The 17,099-nt window shown below is 41.7% G+C and overlaps 1 protein-coding gene across 11 annotated transcripts in view, besides 1 other annotated feature; it reads left to right on the top strand.

Moving 5' to 3' along the window:
* CACNA1E (calcium voltage-gated channel subunit alpha1 E) overlaps window positions 1-17,099 on the top strand; it is a 490,386-nt gene that overhangs the window by 133,927 nt on the left and 339,360 nt on the right. The gene's annotated exons all lie outside the window — the stretch shown is intronic.
* Window positions 2,311-2,440: a silencer, noted in NCBI's record as "silent region_1611". NCBI's record gives its function as "represses an Ori minimal core promoter by ATAC-STARR-seq in GM12878 lymphoblastoid cells {active_cell/tissue: GM12878}" and the evidence as "EXISTENCE:reporter gene assay evidence [ECO:0000049][PMID:35858748]".

The raw sequence follows: 17,099 nt of genomic DNA on the forward strand, positions 1-17,099 counted from the left end.
GAGCTGAGATCATGCCACTGCACTCCAGTCTGGGCAACAAGAGCGAAACTCAGTCTCAAAAAACAAAGAAAAACAAAAAAAATAAAGTCATAGCTAGCAATGTTTTATTTGAGAGTCACCACCTAAAGGGTAAAGCCTTTGAGTGCATGAAAGTCTTCAGGAAGAGTGTAGCAAGAAGGAAGACAGGGCCCAGGGCTAAGGAATTTGGACTTTACCCTACGAGAAGTGGGGAGCCAATAATGTATTTTAAGCAGGGGCATGAGGCAACTGGTGAGGCCTGCAGGACTAAAGGGAGTGCCAGAGATGTCTGACAAGGTTGCTGCCCTCAATGAACTAATTGGGGTAGGCGAGATAAATGTCTCTTGGAAAGTAATGGTCATGCCAGGTGTGATGATTAAGTAGCAGGTGTGTAGCACAGAGAGTAAGGGGGCTAATTGTTTCCCACAAAGTAACTTGGAGCCCCTATGGTTAGGGCCGGATGAGGGCTTAGTCAATCAATTTGCCTTTGTGGTAATCCTGAATAGAAGAGGCTGCTCCTTGGGTGAGAAGACAAATAGACTTTTGAGTTCCCTTTAAAGGCTAGACACTTGGATAACTAGGAAGGGTTCTTAGTAAAAGCAAATGCCTTTTATGAGACTGTGCAGTTTACAAAGCCCTTTGATGTCTGCTACCTCATTTCATTCTTTTAACAAGTAAGTTAGAGGACATTGCAGAGATAAGGAAGTGAGGCCCAGAGACGTTAGAAGTTAATTAATAAGTTATGGAGCCAGTCTTCATGTCTGGGTCTTTAGATCCAAAGTTTGATTCTTTCACACTTCTCCAGTGGTTTGCAAACTGTGTTCCTTGGAGCCCTTCAGGGATGCCTTGGGCTTGCAGGTGATGGGGAGGGGATGGGAAGCATTCAGGGAGCAGGGCTTCTGCTCCCAGAGCCCTACCTCAGCCAGGGCTCTCAGGAATTTTCCAGTTTTCTATGTCAGCCTGTTTTGGAAGGTTTCCCCCAAGGAAGCATTTCCCAATGTGGAAAAACCTACTCTATGCTGTCTTCAAGGCTATCTCTAGGTAGGCCTGTCCCTAAACCCTCCTCCGAAGTTGGTGTGAATTCCTGTGCTTAACCACATACAAGATCTAGCAAAACACTTCTTCTTTTCTAACCCTAACTCTTCAGCTCCAGCTCCAGCCTATTCCCTCTGGATCTTGTTCTAGGTTGTCTGGTGGTTCTTCTCAGTACAATCTGTTTCGTTTCTGCCCCAACACCCTACCACCTTTTTCTAGATTCCTGGCACTCCAGACACTGGAAGAACGAGTATAAACATTTACCAGCTTGGATCCTTTCCCAGACATGCATTGTTGCTGACCCTGTGACCATCAGCTGGACAGTTTTAGTGTCTTCAAATCTTGATGGACTTGTATTTGGACACTTTGTGGCAGTGTTTTTCTGAAACCAGTGCATCTCAAGTAGTTGGATCTAATAATTCCTTTGTTCTCAGAAATTGTACGTTCATTAAAACAATCCTTTGTCCATTAAGTTACTTTTTTTAAAGGCTACAGTTTGCCTGGATGTATCCAGTAGGCATGAGTTAGAGATTAAAGACAAAGGGCCCAGGGGCAAAGGAAATAATTTTGTTTCCTAATCATACAGTGACATTACAAGTTAGCATTTCTGTAGTTTCCCTTGCTGAGAACTGCCTAGAATTTAGTGATAATTTCCTGACTCACAAATTGTGAAACCTAGGCCTAAGCCTTTCTCCTCTTCTTAAATATTTATTGAGCACCTACAGTATAGGTGCAAAGCTTAGCTCTAGGCTCTGTAAAGGATACAGATTTTAACAAACAGTTTCTGCCTTCAAGGGAGTTAATGGTCCCAGCATGTGCCTAAGTAATACAAGGAGGAGGCAGGGAGGGGTGGATGGAGTAAGTGCTGAGGGTGGCCTGAAAATGGAAGTAATCAGTTTATTTCAGGGTTCCAAATGAGAACATTAGTATTATGCTAAGTAACTTCTCTTTTATATCCTGCTCCAGAAGTGTAGGGGTTGGTGGCAGAATCCCGCAGTGGACAGAGGCCCAGAAGCCAACTGGACAGAAGGTCTAGCAAGGAGAGCTGACCCTGATAAATCTAGTCCCAGCTGCTGGTGTGGTTGATGATAGAGAGCTGTGGGCTCCAGAGGAATTCTGGTGCTGAGACAAACTCACGTATTTCAGTTGTATGCTTTGCAAAATCTGTTTGATTGCCAGTAGCTCTTGAGCCCTTAGCCCCTGATAGGCTGGTCACCCACCAGATCCACAGCAGGGAGAACACAGGCTCTGCAGACAGAGACTGGGTATAGGTTACTGCTCTCTTTCTCACTTTACTGTGTTGGTTGCTTAACTTCTCTTGCCTCAGGGTTCTCACAGTGCAGAGGGGAAATGATACCTACCTTGATGGGTGGTTGAAAGGGTGGGAGAGCGTGCAGGGAAAGAGCTTGGCATACAGTAGACACTCATTAGATAGTACCTCATTACTTTTGTTATGAATCCAAGGGCTTCATGGTGGGATCAAGGACCACAGCTGTGGTGGCCTAGCACAGATGTTGCATTTTACTCTTGTGAGTGGTCAGGAAAGCCATGCTGTATGGTGGAGTGAGGGTCTAGAGATCAGGCCCCCATCCCCACCCCGCTCCCCAGAGCCTCCAGGGGACCTTGGACAAGACTCTTAACCTTCTCTGTACATTATTCCTATTCAAACACTGATAAAATGGAAGTGAAAAATCACAACCTTCTGAATTGAAAGGGACCTTTCAATATAATCTACAATAGGTGTATTTAGTAGAAGAGACAGTTGAGGCTTAGACAAGGTGAAATGAAGCTCCAAAGGCAAATCAGGGGGTGGCCCTGTCTTGACTCCCAATATAATGCTCCCCTTCACATAGTTGCTACCCAAGTAGGTGGTGGCTTGAGAGTTTGGGAGCATTCATGAACTATTGCATCTGAGGTGCTTTTGGCTGGACCACTTATATCATAGACAAATCCATTTTTATTAGCATCATTCAAGGTTCATAGCATAAAGGCAGCAAGAAATGGTAGTGAAAATATGCTGTCTTCCCCCTAAACCAGTTTTAATTTCTTAACTCCCTCCTGCCCCTTAGTTCCTCTAAGTATTTTCCTCCTCTGACCTGATATTCATTCACTTGGTATTTATTCCACATGTACTAGGCTTTGCGTACTACAGGGACTTCATAGCCAAGACATGCAAAGTTGAAAAGTTGGATAAACAATACAGGAAAAACAAAAGTGAACAAAAATGCAAAGCACTATATGATTAAATGTTAAATGAGAAATCTATGCCTGTGGTTCCCAAATGCTAATTTATGGATTTGTACTTGTTGATGATAACATTTTCATCAGTTTTCTGTGAAATGAGAAAAATAGGGCAAGGTGTGATTATTTCATAAGGCTACATTTATTTAATAGGATTTTCTGAGATTATATCCTTCCAACATTTTAGTGCTAAAATGCCCTTTCTTTTATGAGATGTTGGAGCATAAATAGTGGTGGTTGAAAGCCCATACTTAAAAAAATAGAAAGTTGGCCACATTATATTGGTTTCTTTTGAAATTTGGCTCATCCTTGAAATCTAAAGCTAAGACAACCACTGGTGGGCACAAAAGTCCAGAGTGAAGGGGAGGAGCAATTTTTGAGGAGTGGAGTGCTCAGGGAGAGCTCCAAGGACAAGGACAAACACTGATAAGGAATTGAAGGATGAGAGGATTCAATAATGTGGAGAGGTTTGGGGAGGCTTCCTCTTGAGAGGATAACGTGAGAAGAGCCTTGGGAGCAAGTGTGGAGGGTCTGTTCAGGGCAATAGGGAGAAAAGTTTGGATGCCTTGTCTTTTTACCTGCTGTGCTCGTAAAAAATTCACCCAGTTGTTACCACAATAAAAACTGATCTTTGGCTCCTTTCAATTAACCAGGTCACTGTCCTGAACTACTTGCCCCAGTCACTGAATCAATGCCCCAGTTCACCTTGTATTCCAGAACTAGTCTTTCATCTGCTCAAGGCAAGGTCAAAAACAGGCATACAAGAGCATCTGATGCTCAGTAACTCAGCTCCAGTTCTGACTTCTTTTTTTTCATCCTTGACCATAATTTAGACTCATTAATGGGTTAGATGGTCTTTGCTCATTCTGGCCTCGTTTCTGGGCCCTACACCCTAGGCCATGCCCTTGAATGTGTCCCTAGCTCTGTGAGGAGGACCCATGAGCAGTAGTGTGCCAGATGCGTCACAGAGGGGACTTAGGGAATGGAAGAAGGCTCAACAGGATGCATTTACTGGGTGGAGAGGGAGGAACTGGTGGCCTATGCCTGTGGGACTGAGGTTCGGATGGTTACCATTGACTAAAATGGGAAGAGAGCCTGTTTGGAGGAGAAGAATTTGGTTTCAGGGATGTTGAGCCCAGGAATGGGAAGGGAGAACTGGTAAGAAATTGGAGGGAGGTGAAGGGAGGATGAGGAGAAGGACCAGGTCCATTTGGAGTCATGGTCAAGGTCTTCTGGAGAGAGACTGCATCATTGCTGATGGTACCAGTGAGTGAGGAGGAAACTGAAAAGAGTTCAGCCTCACAGGAAGGCTGGAAATTAGTGCAGGAGGGATGGGCAGGTGAGTAGGAGGCTGGGGAGGTCACAGAGGACAAGATGAGAGAGTCCATTAACCTAGAGAACATACCATTTGTGTCTGTAGGGGGTACTCCTGTGTTCTGGACTAGGAGGAGTTGTGTTTCACTATGGGTGAAGAGCCTGAGGGTAAGGAGAGGCTGTGCCTGTTCTGCGACCCTCCATGTGATCTGAGGTATTCCCTTGGCACATACTCAGACACCCACCTCCTTTGCTTGGTGTCTTCAATCTTTCCATACCTCCTCCTCAGGGGGAAGAAGTCCTTGCTTCAAGTAACTGACTGGCTGCAAGTCATGGAGAGGGTTGGGGCCAAGGGAGCCATCTTTTTTTACGCCTCCCTCTGGGGCTGCTAAGAGCAGTAGATCTGTTTGAGCTTATTTATGTGCCTGGAGTTGAGAGCTCATATTTTGCTTATTCAACCAGCTTCCCACGCTGCCAGGAAGGCACTAAGCAGCAGAAATTCATGTTCACCCTCTCTGTCTCCCTCTCTCTCTCACTCTGTCTTTGGTATTCTTCAGCTCCAATGGGAGCTAATATTTACCTGCAGTGTTAGCTGTGGGGCCGTGGGATGTGGCAGCTGGAGGTGGAGAAGACTTTTTTCTCCCTTCCTCCTCCACCTGTCTTTCCCTAGAGATTTGAAAAGGGAAAAATTGTAATTTTAATCTTTAAGACTGCCTGTTTGAGATTTCAGATGTTGTTGAGAAAAGTCAAGGGGTCTTGTGCTCACTTTTCTACTGAAAGATAAGTGTCTTAGTCTGTGAGCCTCTATAATAAAGTACCACAAAGTAAGTGGCTTGTAACAACAGAAATTTATTTTTTATAGTTCTGGAGGCTGGGAAGTCCAAGATCAAGGCACTGGTAGATTTGGTGTCTGGCAAGGGCCCTCTGCCTGATGGATACCTTTCTTTCCACTGTAACCTTACAAGGTGTAAGGGGCAAAGGATCTCTTTGGGGCCTCTTTTAAAAGGGCACTAATCTCATTCATGGGGGCTCCACCCTTATGACCTAATCACTTCCCAAAGGCCCCACCTCCTAATACCATCCCCGTGGGGGGTTAGGATTTCAACATATGAATTTGGGTGAACATAAACATTCAGTCCATCAAAACAAGGAGGAAGATGAGATTGGTGGGCTTTTAGGACATGCTGCAGAGAAGGGAGAAAATGTCAGCCAAGGAATACTGTCATACTGTTCCTTACAAGTGGAGTGACTCCCGCGTTGGTGACAAGAGGGCATGGATGACAGAGTCTGAGACATTACTATGACTGGTCTTACTTGGTGCTGGTCAGCTCGGACAACTTCTGCAGGGGGAGCCTAGCAGATTTCATGTGCTAGGCACAACAAGCAGGGCTGGCAGCCATAGCTTCTCCCTACCTGCAGGGAATGTGCATAGGGGCAAGTTCCCTCTGAGCCCACTGCCTGGTGCTGACTCAGCCCAAGTGCTTACCTGCTCACCAGTCAGGAGTTGAACATATAGATGAAGTTGAACGAATGTCTGAGGCCAGGAATAGGAAAAATGTCTCAGCTCAATGTGGTTTGCGCATGACAAAAAGAGTAACTGGTGATATTTCTAAGACCTTGGTACATTCCCACTATGGGACAGGATCGTCCCTCTCCAGGATGCTGGGGGAAGGGACAGGTGGGAGATGGGGCAGGGATGAAAAGGAGAACCTTGAGGCCGGGAGTGGGTGGGGATGTTGGCCTGCATGGATTCCACACAAGGTCTAAGTCCATCTGTGTGTGTAAGCCAGCGCCCATAGCGGCTGGAGGCTCCTCCACTCACTTCTCCAGTGCCTTTTCCTGCCTTTATAGCAGTTTTCCAGAAAGTCTATTCCTGTTCTTCAAACTGCTCTTTTATGCTGTGTGTCATGATTTCTCATGCCCCAGTTTGTCCTGTTGTTGCCATGGTAGCTGGCTAGGGGTCGTCTCCAGTTGGGTGGGAATATCTTGCTGGCAGGCCACGGAGGCAGAAGAAGATATGGGTGACTTCAGGCTGGTGCTTCGGGGACTCCTGGTGTTACAGACCACCACCTGGCTCCCCATTCCTACCCCTCTGCATTTCCCACAGTTTCCTATGCCCACCAGAAGGCAAAAACAGAGGAGGAAATAAGTGTAATATTTGCCTTTGTTACGGCCATTTCAGAAAAAGCCTGGCAAGGCATAGACTGCCCCTTTCAAGATTGAGCTATGGCAGAACTAAGATGGGACCCTTGTCTGGGCAAGAACCGCAAGGGAACACTTGTCCCATCAACACTTAGAAAGAGAAAAGAAGGCAGCAGACAGCAAGGCAGGATTTAGCTGTGAAAAGCCACTTCCAAGAAACACGAAGATAAACTGAATGCCCTTGACACCTATGAGCTAAGCATCTGGCAGCTGGGACTCTCCATGCCTATGAATATAGAAACTTTTGTATGGGCCCTTGACTTCACTTTTGTGAAGTTTCCTGTGATTTGGGCACACTGCATTATTGTTTGCCTTTCTATCTTTCACTTTGGTTTCTATCACATTTGATGGCTACTTTTCACATGATACATTTTAAATCATTTATTTACCCATCCATCCATCCATCCATCCATCCATCCATCCATCCATCCATCCACCCATCCATTTATTCAACAAATATTCAAGAAATAACCATTGATTACATACTATATATTATGTACTGTTCCAACTATGGGGAGATAGCAGTGAACAATATTGACAGTCTCTGCTCTCAAGGAGCTTACATTCATCTGAGATAGATCAATAACAAATAGACAAGAAAATACAGGATAGTAAAGAGTGGAAGATTAACCTGGGGTGATGTCACAGACTGTGACTGGGTGGATGGTCCAGGAAGGCTCTGCAAAGGTAGCATGTGAGCTGAGATCTGAAAGCCAGGAAGCAACCACTATGGGAGGATGGGGAAGAACATTCCTAGTACAGGGAACAACATTCCCAGTACAGGGAACAACTAGCTTAATGCCCTAAGGCAGAAGCAAGATTGGTATGTTTGAGAAACCTCAAGGAGGGCAGTTGAGATAGGTGAGCCGGTGAGCACTTGGGCTGAGTCAGCACCAGGCAGCAGGCTCTGAGGGAACTTGCCCTTTACACATGTTCAGGTAGGGAGAAGCTATGGCTCCCAGCCTTGCTTGTTGTTGTGTCTAGCACATGAACTCTGTGAGGATTCCTCTGTAGAAGCTGCCCACGCTGGCCAGTGCCAAGTAAACCAGTCATAGTAATGCCTCAGACTCCATCATCCATGCCCTCTTGTGCCTAACACTGGAGCTACTCCACCTGTGACTGGAGCGATGGGGAAGGACGTGGAAGATACAGTCAGAGGGTTAGTGTGCCAGACACCTTACCTGCACCACGTCACAGCCTTGTGGCCTCAACTGTTTCTGGGACTTTTGGCTGCTTGTTCAGGTTCCAGTTGTCACTGCAGTGACTGACCAACTCCATGCATGTAAAACCCGACAGCACTTCACCTCATGAAGGTGTACCTCCCACCTCTTACCCTGGAGCTTCCCTATTGACACCAACTCACGAGATGCACAGGACTCTCCTGGGCAACTGGAAGGTGGAGAGGAAATTAACTCCCTGAGTGATGAACATTTGATCAGTGAGAGATTGAGCAGATGAATTCTTCTCTGTCTTCTGATGGACTGTCCTGAGGCACAGTTGTCTTTTACCAATGGCCAGCTAGGTAATGCACCATCATATTGGCTCTCCCTCCTTGCCTGCCTTACTTCCCTTTTCCCTCACTCCTGCTTCCTTGCGTTTGCATACCTTAATAAAGGCACCTGAACCCTTGCCTCAGGCTCTGCTTTCTGGGGGAAACCACACTTAGACGGAGAGGCAGGCACCAGCTGATATAGGGCCTGGTAGGACATGATAAGGAATTTACATTTCATTTTGAGAATTAGGGGAGGTTATTAGAGAATACTGAACTGGAGAATGATATGGTCTGTTAGACTTTTAAAAAAGCTGACTCTGGTTGCAGTTTGGAGAATAGATTGAAGGAAGGCAGGATGAGCAGTGGGCAGGCTACTATCACAGTTCAGGGGAGAGATGGATGATGGCATGAACCAGAGTGGGAGCAGTGGTGGTCATGAGCCTGTGTGTTTGTGAAGGGCAACCATAAGACAAGGCTGTACTGAGAAGCATACTGGGTAGTGGGCCAGGAACAGGACCCACACCTTTGCACAGCAGCTGTTATGGTTGAAATTCAAATATGTGGTTCAGCAAGACAACAAATTACAACCTACCAAGGACCTTCATCACCTGTTGAACATAGAGAGACTTCAGCTGGGGAGAACTGAAGACCTTTACAGAAACCTCAGGACATTTTTATTCAAACCCATCCATGGAGTTCCCTCAGGAGGAAGGAGCTTGGGTTCAGCTCCTAGTTGAATCAAGTAACTCTCCGCCTTCATCTGTTTAATTCATTTACACTTAGAGTAGTATTTCTTTTGCAGAAAGGGATGCATGGCTAAAAATGTACTACTGCTTCCATTAATGAAAATTAATTTAGCTTAATAAGATGAGTCTGAATCTTGGATTCTGCCAGCCCTGAGTTTGAATTCTAGTTTGACCCGTTTCTAGGTATGTGGCCTTTAAGTTTCTCATCTGCAATATGGGAATTAACACTAACTTCCTGGAGTTGTGAGAGTTAAATGATTTGGGTGTATAAAATATCTGATACATGCTCTTTATACCCTCTTTACTCCACTCATAGTAAATAAATCCTGTGGGAAGCTGAAGTACGGTGGGGATTGAATTGAGGTGGGTGCAACCTTAGCCCTCACCTGGTAGACTTCCTTCTAGAGTTTAACCTGGAGATACTGGAGCTTTTGCCATTAAGGGAGGTAACAGATCATTACAAAACATTCCTCTGGAGTTATTCAGGAGACTAGAACTGAGCCCTTTCTTTTGAGAGGGTCAAAACAGTATCGGTTTATGAATGACTATGATAGTACCCCTGTGAGATAGTTTAAAAGAAGTGTTGGGCCGGGCGCAGTGGCTCACGCCTGTAATCCCAGCACTTTGGGAGGCCGAGGCGGGCGGATCACGAGGTCAGGAGATCGAGACCATCCTGGCTAACACGGTGAAACCCCCTCTCTACTAAAAATACAAAAAATTAGCCGGGCGTGGTGGCGGGCGCCTGTAGACCCAGCTACTCGGGAGGCTGAGGCAGGAGAATGGCATCAACTTGGGAGGCGGAGCTTGCAGTGAGCCGAGATTGCACCACTGCACTCCAGCCTGGGCGACAGAGCAAGACTCCATCTCAAAAAAAAAAAAAAAAAAAAAAGTGTTGTTCAATCCATTTTATAGATGATAGTTTCTAATACTTCAGGCAGTTGTGCCTTCCCTCTGCAATCAAACTCTGGGGCATTTTTCCCCTTGATGCTGTCTTCTTCACTTGCTCAACCAAAAATACCAGCTCTTGCAGAATAAATCATCAATTTCTGAGGGTGGCTGATGTGAACAACTCATATGAATCTCAGGCCCATCTTAGATTTTTTTTTTTTTGGGAAATTACAAAAGTATTTTACATTTGTTATAGAAAATATGGAAAAGCATATGGAAGAAAATGAAAATTATCCGTAATGCCATCATGTACAACTGATCGTTAATAATGGATAAATATCCTTCTAGGCTTTTTTTTCCCTACACACATACCTGTATGTATATTCACACACATACATATACCCACATACAGCTTATTATACTAATGGGGATTATAGGGTGCACATCTTGCTTTTGTAACCAGCTTTACTGATTAATAATATATTATGAACAGTGTACTGTGTCATTAAATATAGTTTTACCATGTGATTTTGAATAATTGCAAGAATTCTCTTATGTGATTCTTATGATTTGATAACAAGTTCCTTATTGTTTTTCACTTACAATACAAAAAGATTGTAGTTTTTAATATTCAAATGAACAATCCAATGACCAGTTTTATAAATGCATCTTCATGTGCAAGTCTAATGACCTGATAAGGAGAAATTCCTAGGATTAGAATTATTGGGGCATAGGCTGTGCACATATTTATGACTCTTGAGAAGTATTGCCCTACCTCCTTCAGGAAAGGTTGTGCTAATTCCAACCTCACCCACAGTGAATGAGATTGCACTCATCTTTGCCAACTCTGGGTATTTCAGTTAGTAAGAATGTCTCTTGAACTTCTCCTAAACACAGTTTAATTATGATATATTTCGAACATTTGTATAGAAAACAAGAGACACCCACGTACCCACTACCAAGATTAAATACATAATAATATTTGCCATATTTGCTTCATCCCTCTCCCATTTTCAAATAAATACAATGTTACAGATGCATTTTGTATGCTCATTCTTTGTTCCTTGCTCCGGAAGTCATCACTCCTCTGAGATTGATATTTCATTACCATGTGCATTTTTGTAATTTTACTACATGTGCATTTATGAAAAAGCATGTATATGAATTTTTTGAGTTTTAAAGTTTTATTTACGTGATACATAGAATGTGTCCTTTTGCAGCAAAATGAACATTTGTTTTTAAGATTTACCAGTATTATTACATGCATACTGAGTTCATTATTTCACTTTCTGCATAGAACTCCATTGTATAAATAAATCACAGGTTCTTAATTCGCTTCCCTTCTGAGGGGAGGCTAGGTTGCTATAATTTTTTGTTATTACAGATAAAATGATCATCTTGTCCATGTCTCTTGGGTGCATGTGTGAGATTTTCTCTGGGAAAGATACCTAAAAGTGGAATTGCTGAGTTTAGGAATACACATTTCCAACTTTTATTAGGTACAGTAGTTCCCCCTTATCTGCAGGGGATAAGACCCCCAGTGGATGCCTCAAACTGTGGATAGTATCAAATCTTATAAATGCTATATTTTTCCTACACATACATACCTATGATAAAGTTTAATTTATAAATTAGACACAGGAAGAGATGAATAATAACTATTAATAAAATAGAACAATTATGTGATATACTGTAATGAAAGCTATTCACATAACTTATATGGGCTCTCTCTCCCTCTCTAAAATTATCTTAATATTTTTGGACTCTGGTTGACTGAGGGTAATGGAAAGTGAAACTGTGGATAAGGTGGGGACTACTGTATTATCTAACACATTGCTTTTCAGAGTGAATGTGTCATTTCCACTCTGCATATCATATGCAGCACTCCCATTTCTATATATCTTCAACATCACTTGAGATGTTCAGAATTATTAAAGTGTGCCAATCTGATGGGTGTGAAATGGAATCCAATTATTGCATTAATTGCACTTTCCCTGATTACTAATGAAATTGAGCACTGAACATATGTTTGTTGGCCATTTGGATTTCCTCTTGTGTGAACTGTAGATTCCTATCCTCTGCCCATATTTCTATGAGGTAGTATGTGTTTTTCTTATGATTTCTGAGAATCTTGTATATGTTCTAGATAGAATTCGTGAGTTGTCAGTATCTTCTCCCCCACATGACTTGTCTTTTTCACTTTGTTTATGGTGCTTTTTGTCATACAGAGTTATTAATTTTAGTGTGGTAAAATGTATCTGCATTTTTTTGATGATTTTTGTTCATCTTCTCTCATTAAAAAATTCCTTCCACATACTGAGATAAAAAAGAAGTCATTTATATTTTTTAAATAACATTTTTTACAGTTTTGCATATCACATTTGGCTCTTTTAATCTATCTGGAATTAATTTTTGTGTATAGTGTGAGGTGGGCTCTAATTTTATCTATTTTTTCTCTGCTATGATTAGTCCTTTGACTCAACACCATTTAGTGAGTAGGCAATTCTTATCTGCTGTTTCTGGGCACTTTATTTTATTCCACTGGTCTATTTGTATATCCCTCTCACCCATGTCTCACTAATTTAGTTTTTATAACTTTGTAGTTTTGGTATATTAATTCTCCCCAAATTGTCTTGGCTATTGGCTCTTTATTCATCATATGATTTTTAGGATCACCTTGTCACATTTCACTAAAAAGATTAGATTTTAATTGAAATGGAATAAATGGATAGATTAACCTAAGGGAGCCTTGCCATATTTAAGCTACTTCGTTTTTTGTTTTTTTTTTAGTCCCTGGGCATGACTTATTTCTTCTTATGTTTAGAGCTTTCTTAAAGTCCCTCAAGAGAGTTGAAAATTTTTCTTTACATCTTTAATTGGGTTTGTTTTTAGGTACCTTATGGTTTTGTTGCTTTTGCATGGTGTCTTCTTATCATTACTTTTTCTGAGTCTTTGTTTTAGGTGTACCAGAACTTGTACTTTTGTACACTGATTTCATGTCCACCATCTTTGTAGAATTCTCTTACTACTGTGAGTGGCTTTTTTTTTTTTTTTGTAGGCAACTCTTATATTTTGGATGCAGGCAGCATCACCTGTGAATAATGATAACTTTGTTTTTTCCTTTATAATCCATATGCCTTTTCTTTCTTTTTCTTTACTTATTACATTAACCAGTACTTCAAGTCCAATACTGAATAGAAAGAGTTTCAGTGGGTGTCCTAGACTGATACTTCACTTTACAGCTATGTCTTGACTTAGTCCGTGTTCCCTGTGAACACCACCTTACCTCTGACCATCCTGCCCACTTTACGTGGCATTGTTGATTAGTAATTTAGTTCCTTTTTTGTGTATGTATTCATAAATTAGACATTATATATATATAAATAAAATTGTCATTATATCCACTAATATCTTTTGCTCCTCACACCATTTTCTTGCAGACCATTCTTTTCTTCCATTTAAATTTCCTCCCCAAGAAATGTCTTATAGTACTTATTTCCCCTGAACTTGTATAGTAAACTCTCTATTTTCCTGGAAAAGTCTTTATTTCGAGTCATAATTTAGCTATTTTCAACACTTGATGATATTATTCTATCACTTTCTGGCCTGGCCTCTATTATTATAATTAATAATCTAATTGCTGCTTCTTGTAGGTAATCTGTCTTTCCTCTCAGGATGCTTTTAAGATTTTTTCCTTCATATTTTTGGATCTTTTGATATTTCACTAGAATATGTGTGTATAGGTTGAATTTATTTTTATTTATCCTCCTTAGAATTCATTGAATTTCTTGACTTGGAGGATTTATATCTTTCATCAATACTAGAAAATTTATCCTACAGATCTTCAAATATTGTCTTTCTGCAGTCTCTATGATCTCTTTATAGAAGTCCCATTAGATATATTTTGGGTCTCTTCATTCTGTCTTCCATGTCTGTTAACTTTAATCATATTTTCTCTATTTTTATCTCCCTGGGCTGTATACTGTGGAGTTTCCTCATATGTGTTTTCCTGTTTACTGACACTCTCCTTAGTTATATATAATCTAATAGTTAACCTATCTATTGCCTTTAATTTCAATGATTATATATTTTATTACAAGAAATTTTGTATTTGCCACTTTTTCAAATTATCTTTTTTTCATTTCATTGCATTCTATTATTTTATTTCTTTACATATCTTTTCTATTATTTCAAGTACTGGAGCTTTAATCTTCTTGTTCTTTGTATTAGCTAACTTATCCTTATGCTGATTATTTCCTTGTGTGCTTCAAAAATTTTGATTACAAGTCATGTTTAGTAGTGCTTGTTTTCCCCATGGAAATGCAGTGTACTCAGGATTGTGAGAGTAGCCTAATAGAGTAGTTTTGTTTGGTTTTCTTACTTGACCCAGGGGTGTTATTTTCTTGGCCTAAGTGTTCCTGAATCCCGCTGAACATGTAAATTCAGCCCATAAATCCATGTCACACACAATCCTGAGTTTTGATTTCTCAGGGTTTTGCTTTTTCTCATTCACTCAGAGACAGAAGCTTCCTTGTTATCTATTTTTGCTGTAGAGTTGATTTTCATGCAGTTTATTTAACTGAAGGTACAGTTCTTTAAGGGTTATAGCTTAGCGCAGAATCTTAGTTCCAACTTCTGTCCACATAAGGTCTAAAGACCTTATCACTTCTCTTGAGTGGACATTAAAACTTACCCATTAGGCTGGGCATGGTGGCTCATGCCTATAATCCCAGCACTTTGGGAGGCCAAGGCTGGTGGATCACTTGAAGCCAGGAGTTTGAGAACAGCCTGGCCAACATGGCAAAACCATATTTCTACTTAAAAAAAAAAAAAAATTAAGCCTTGTGTGGGTGGCGTGTGCCTGTGGTCCCAGCTACTCAGGAGGCTGAGACATGAGAATCGCTTGAGTTTGGGAGGTGGTGGTTGCAGTGAACTGAGATGGGGCCACTGTACTCCAGCTTGGGTGAAAGAGCGAGACTCTGTCTTAAACAAAACAAAAAATAAAACAAAGCAAAGCAAAGCAAAACAAAACAAAACACATAAAAAACCCAACCCATTAAATCTTTGTTACCAGGACTAGTTACTGCCTATGGGACAGCTGCAATTTCAATTCACACGCTTCCTCCTTTGTATTTCAATTCCTCCTAGGGATTTCCTTTTATATCTTTCAAGTTCAGCAATATATCTTTTCAAATATATTTGAAAATATATTTCTGTACTTTATCAGTTTTTCTAGAAATGTGTAGCAAGAGATTTTCTTATTCTGCCATCTTTCTAGTACTGAATCCTTGAATGACTTTTACAAAGAGAATAAAATAGGAAAGCATAAAATAGTCCCTGGGAAATACACACAGTCTTCTAAGACTTGAAACTAGATGTTCCTAATGGAGAGGTTAGTAAGAGTGCCGGACACAGCACAGGGGAAGATTTGAGGAAGGAAGTGGGTGAGAAACAGCAGTGCATTAATGGGCAATTACTTTCTGCCCCCTCAGATGGTACGTGAGTGCTTAGCTAATGGCAGTTCACTTAGAAAAGTGATCATTGGTAAGTCCTTACCAGCAGCTCCCAAAAATATCTTGCCTGAAGTGATCGAGCCTTTTTAGGAAACGAAAGATCAGATTCAGAAAGCAAGGAGATGGTTCTCAAATTCTAGTGAAGACAAATTCTAGAAGAAAAGCTTTCAAAGGGTGTTGTTGACCAGAGAAGCTGAAGGATTCAAGCTTTCTTGTAGCTTTATAAATAAGAAGGGAAAGAAAACAGAATGAAAAGCAGGGGATGAGGGTACACAGGGTTGAGTTGAAAGCATGAGTGTAGGAGTTTTCACTGCAGACATAGCTGATTTGAGGGGGAAACATTGTTTTGCAGGGCTTGTGACCAAATTTCTTAGGATCCAAAGTGTCAGGAGAAATCCTATTTATTTGAAATCTAGTTGATAAGCCTTAAGCTGATTATGTCAGGTTGAGGTCACTTTTTCTTTTCAGCTTGGGTTGTCCCTTCAGACTCTGCTGTCCCTTCAGTTTCTTTTATCTTAAGGCATGGAGCCCTGTGCAGGCCTATGAGACCATCAGAAAAATAGAGGTGCAGCTCTGAGTTCACTCCAACTCTCAAAGGCTGTGACTTACTAGATATGAGGGAGAAAATGAAAGTGTACATAGTGAGGCAAATGCATTCCACTGGGGTTCCTGCATTCCTGGTCATGATGTTGATGAGTCCTATGAGCTAGAGCAATCTATTTAATTATTCTACACCAGGAGTCTCAACTGGGAGGTGATTTGGGCCCCAAGGGTCATTTAGCAATGTTTGGAAACATTTTTGATTGTCACAGCTGAGTGGGGGAAGTATATCTGGTGTCTAGTGGCTACAGGCCAGGGATGCTGCTGAATATCCTACAGTGCAAGGGCATCCCCTATGACAAAGAATTATGTGACTCAGAAATGCCAATAATGCTGAGCTTAAGACACCCTTCTCTACATGTCTTTTCTTATCTGCAACATGGAGGGGTTAGAAGAAGAGGTTGATGTGTGTGGCTAGATTAGGTTATTACCCATCTGTCTAACAGAGAGCACTTCAACCCACATCACATCTCTAGATACATGGAGGAAATGAAATTAGTTGAAAATGTTCCCCAATTTTCTACCAAAGAACAAAATATTGTACTCGAGATGTGAGCTTTGCAGGTTCACGGTGACCACTGTGTCTGCCTCCACGCATTGGGTCATTGGTCTTGTCATGTTAGGTTTGCGAGTTGCACTTGCACCTGTGAAGGGAAGGTTGAGGACAGGCTTCCTTGAGCTGAACTGATTGTCTCCAGAATGGTTTTATCAGCTGTAGCTTCTCCCACAGCACCTTCCCAACATGGTGCAGATCCTAAGGAGTCCATGTCCTGCTTGTGTCCATTTGGCTTTGTTTATAGTTTCCATTCATTTATTTATGCATTTATTCATTCATTTAATAAACATGTATTCAGAGTCCACTAGACATAAGGCAGTGCATTAGTTACTATGGAGAATGCAAAGATGAATGAGCCAAGCCCCTTGTAGTATAGTGGGGAGCCAAGATGTGTACACCACAGTATCTGAGGCAGGGTGACATAAAGTGCCAGCAGTACTCAGAGGAGAGAGAGATCACTTTTGTCATATGACCACAAATTGCTTCATAAGGGA

Source organism: Homo sapiens, chromosome 1, assembly GCF_000001405.40.
Source record: "Homo sapiens chromosome 1, GRCh38.p14 Primary Assembly".
NCBI lineage: Eukaryota > Metazoa > Chordata > Mammalia > Primates > Hominidae > Homo > Homo sapiens.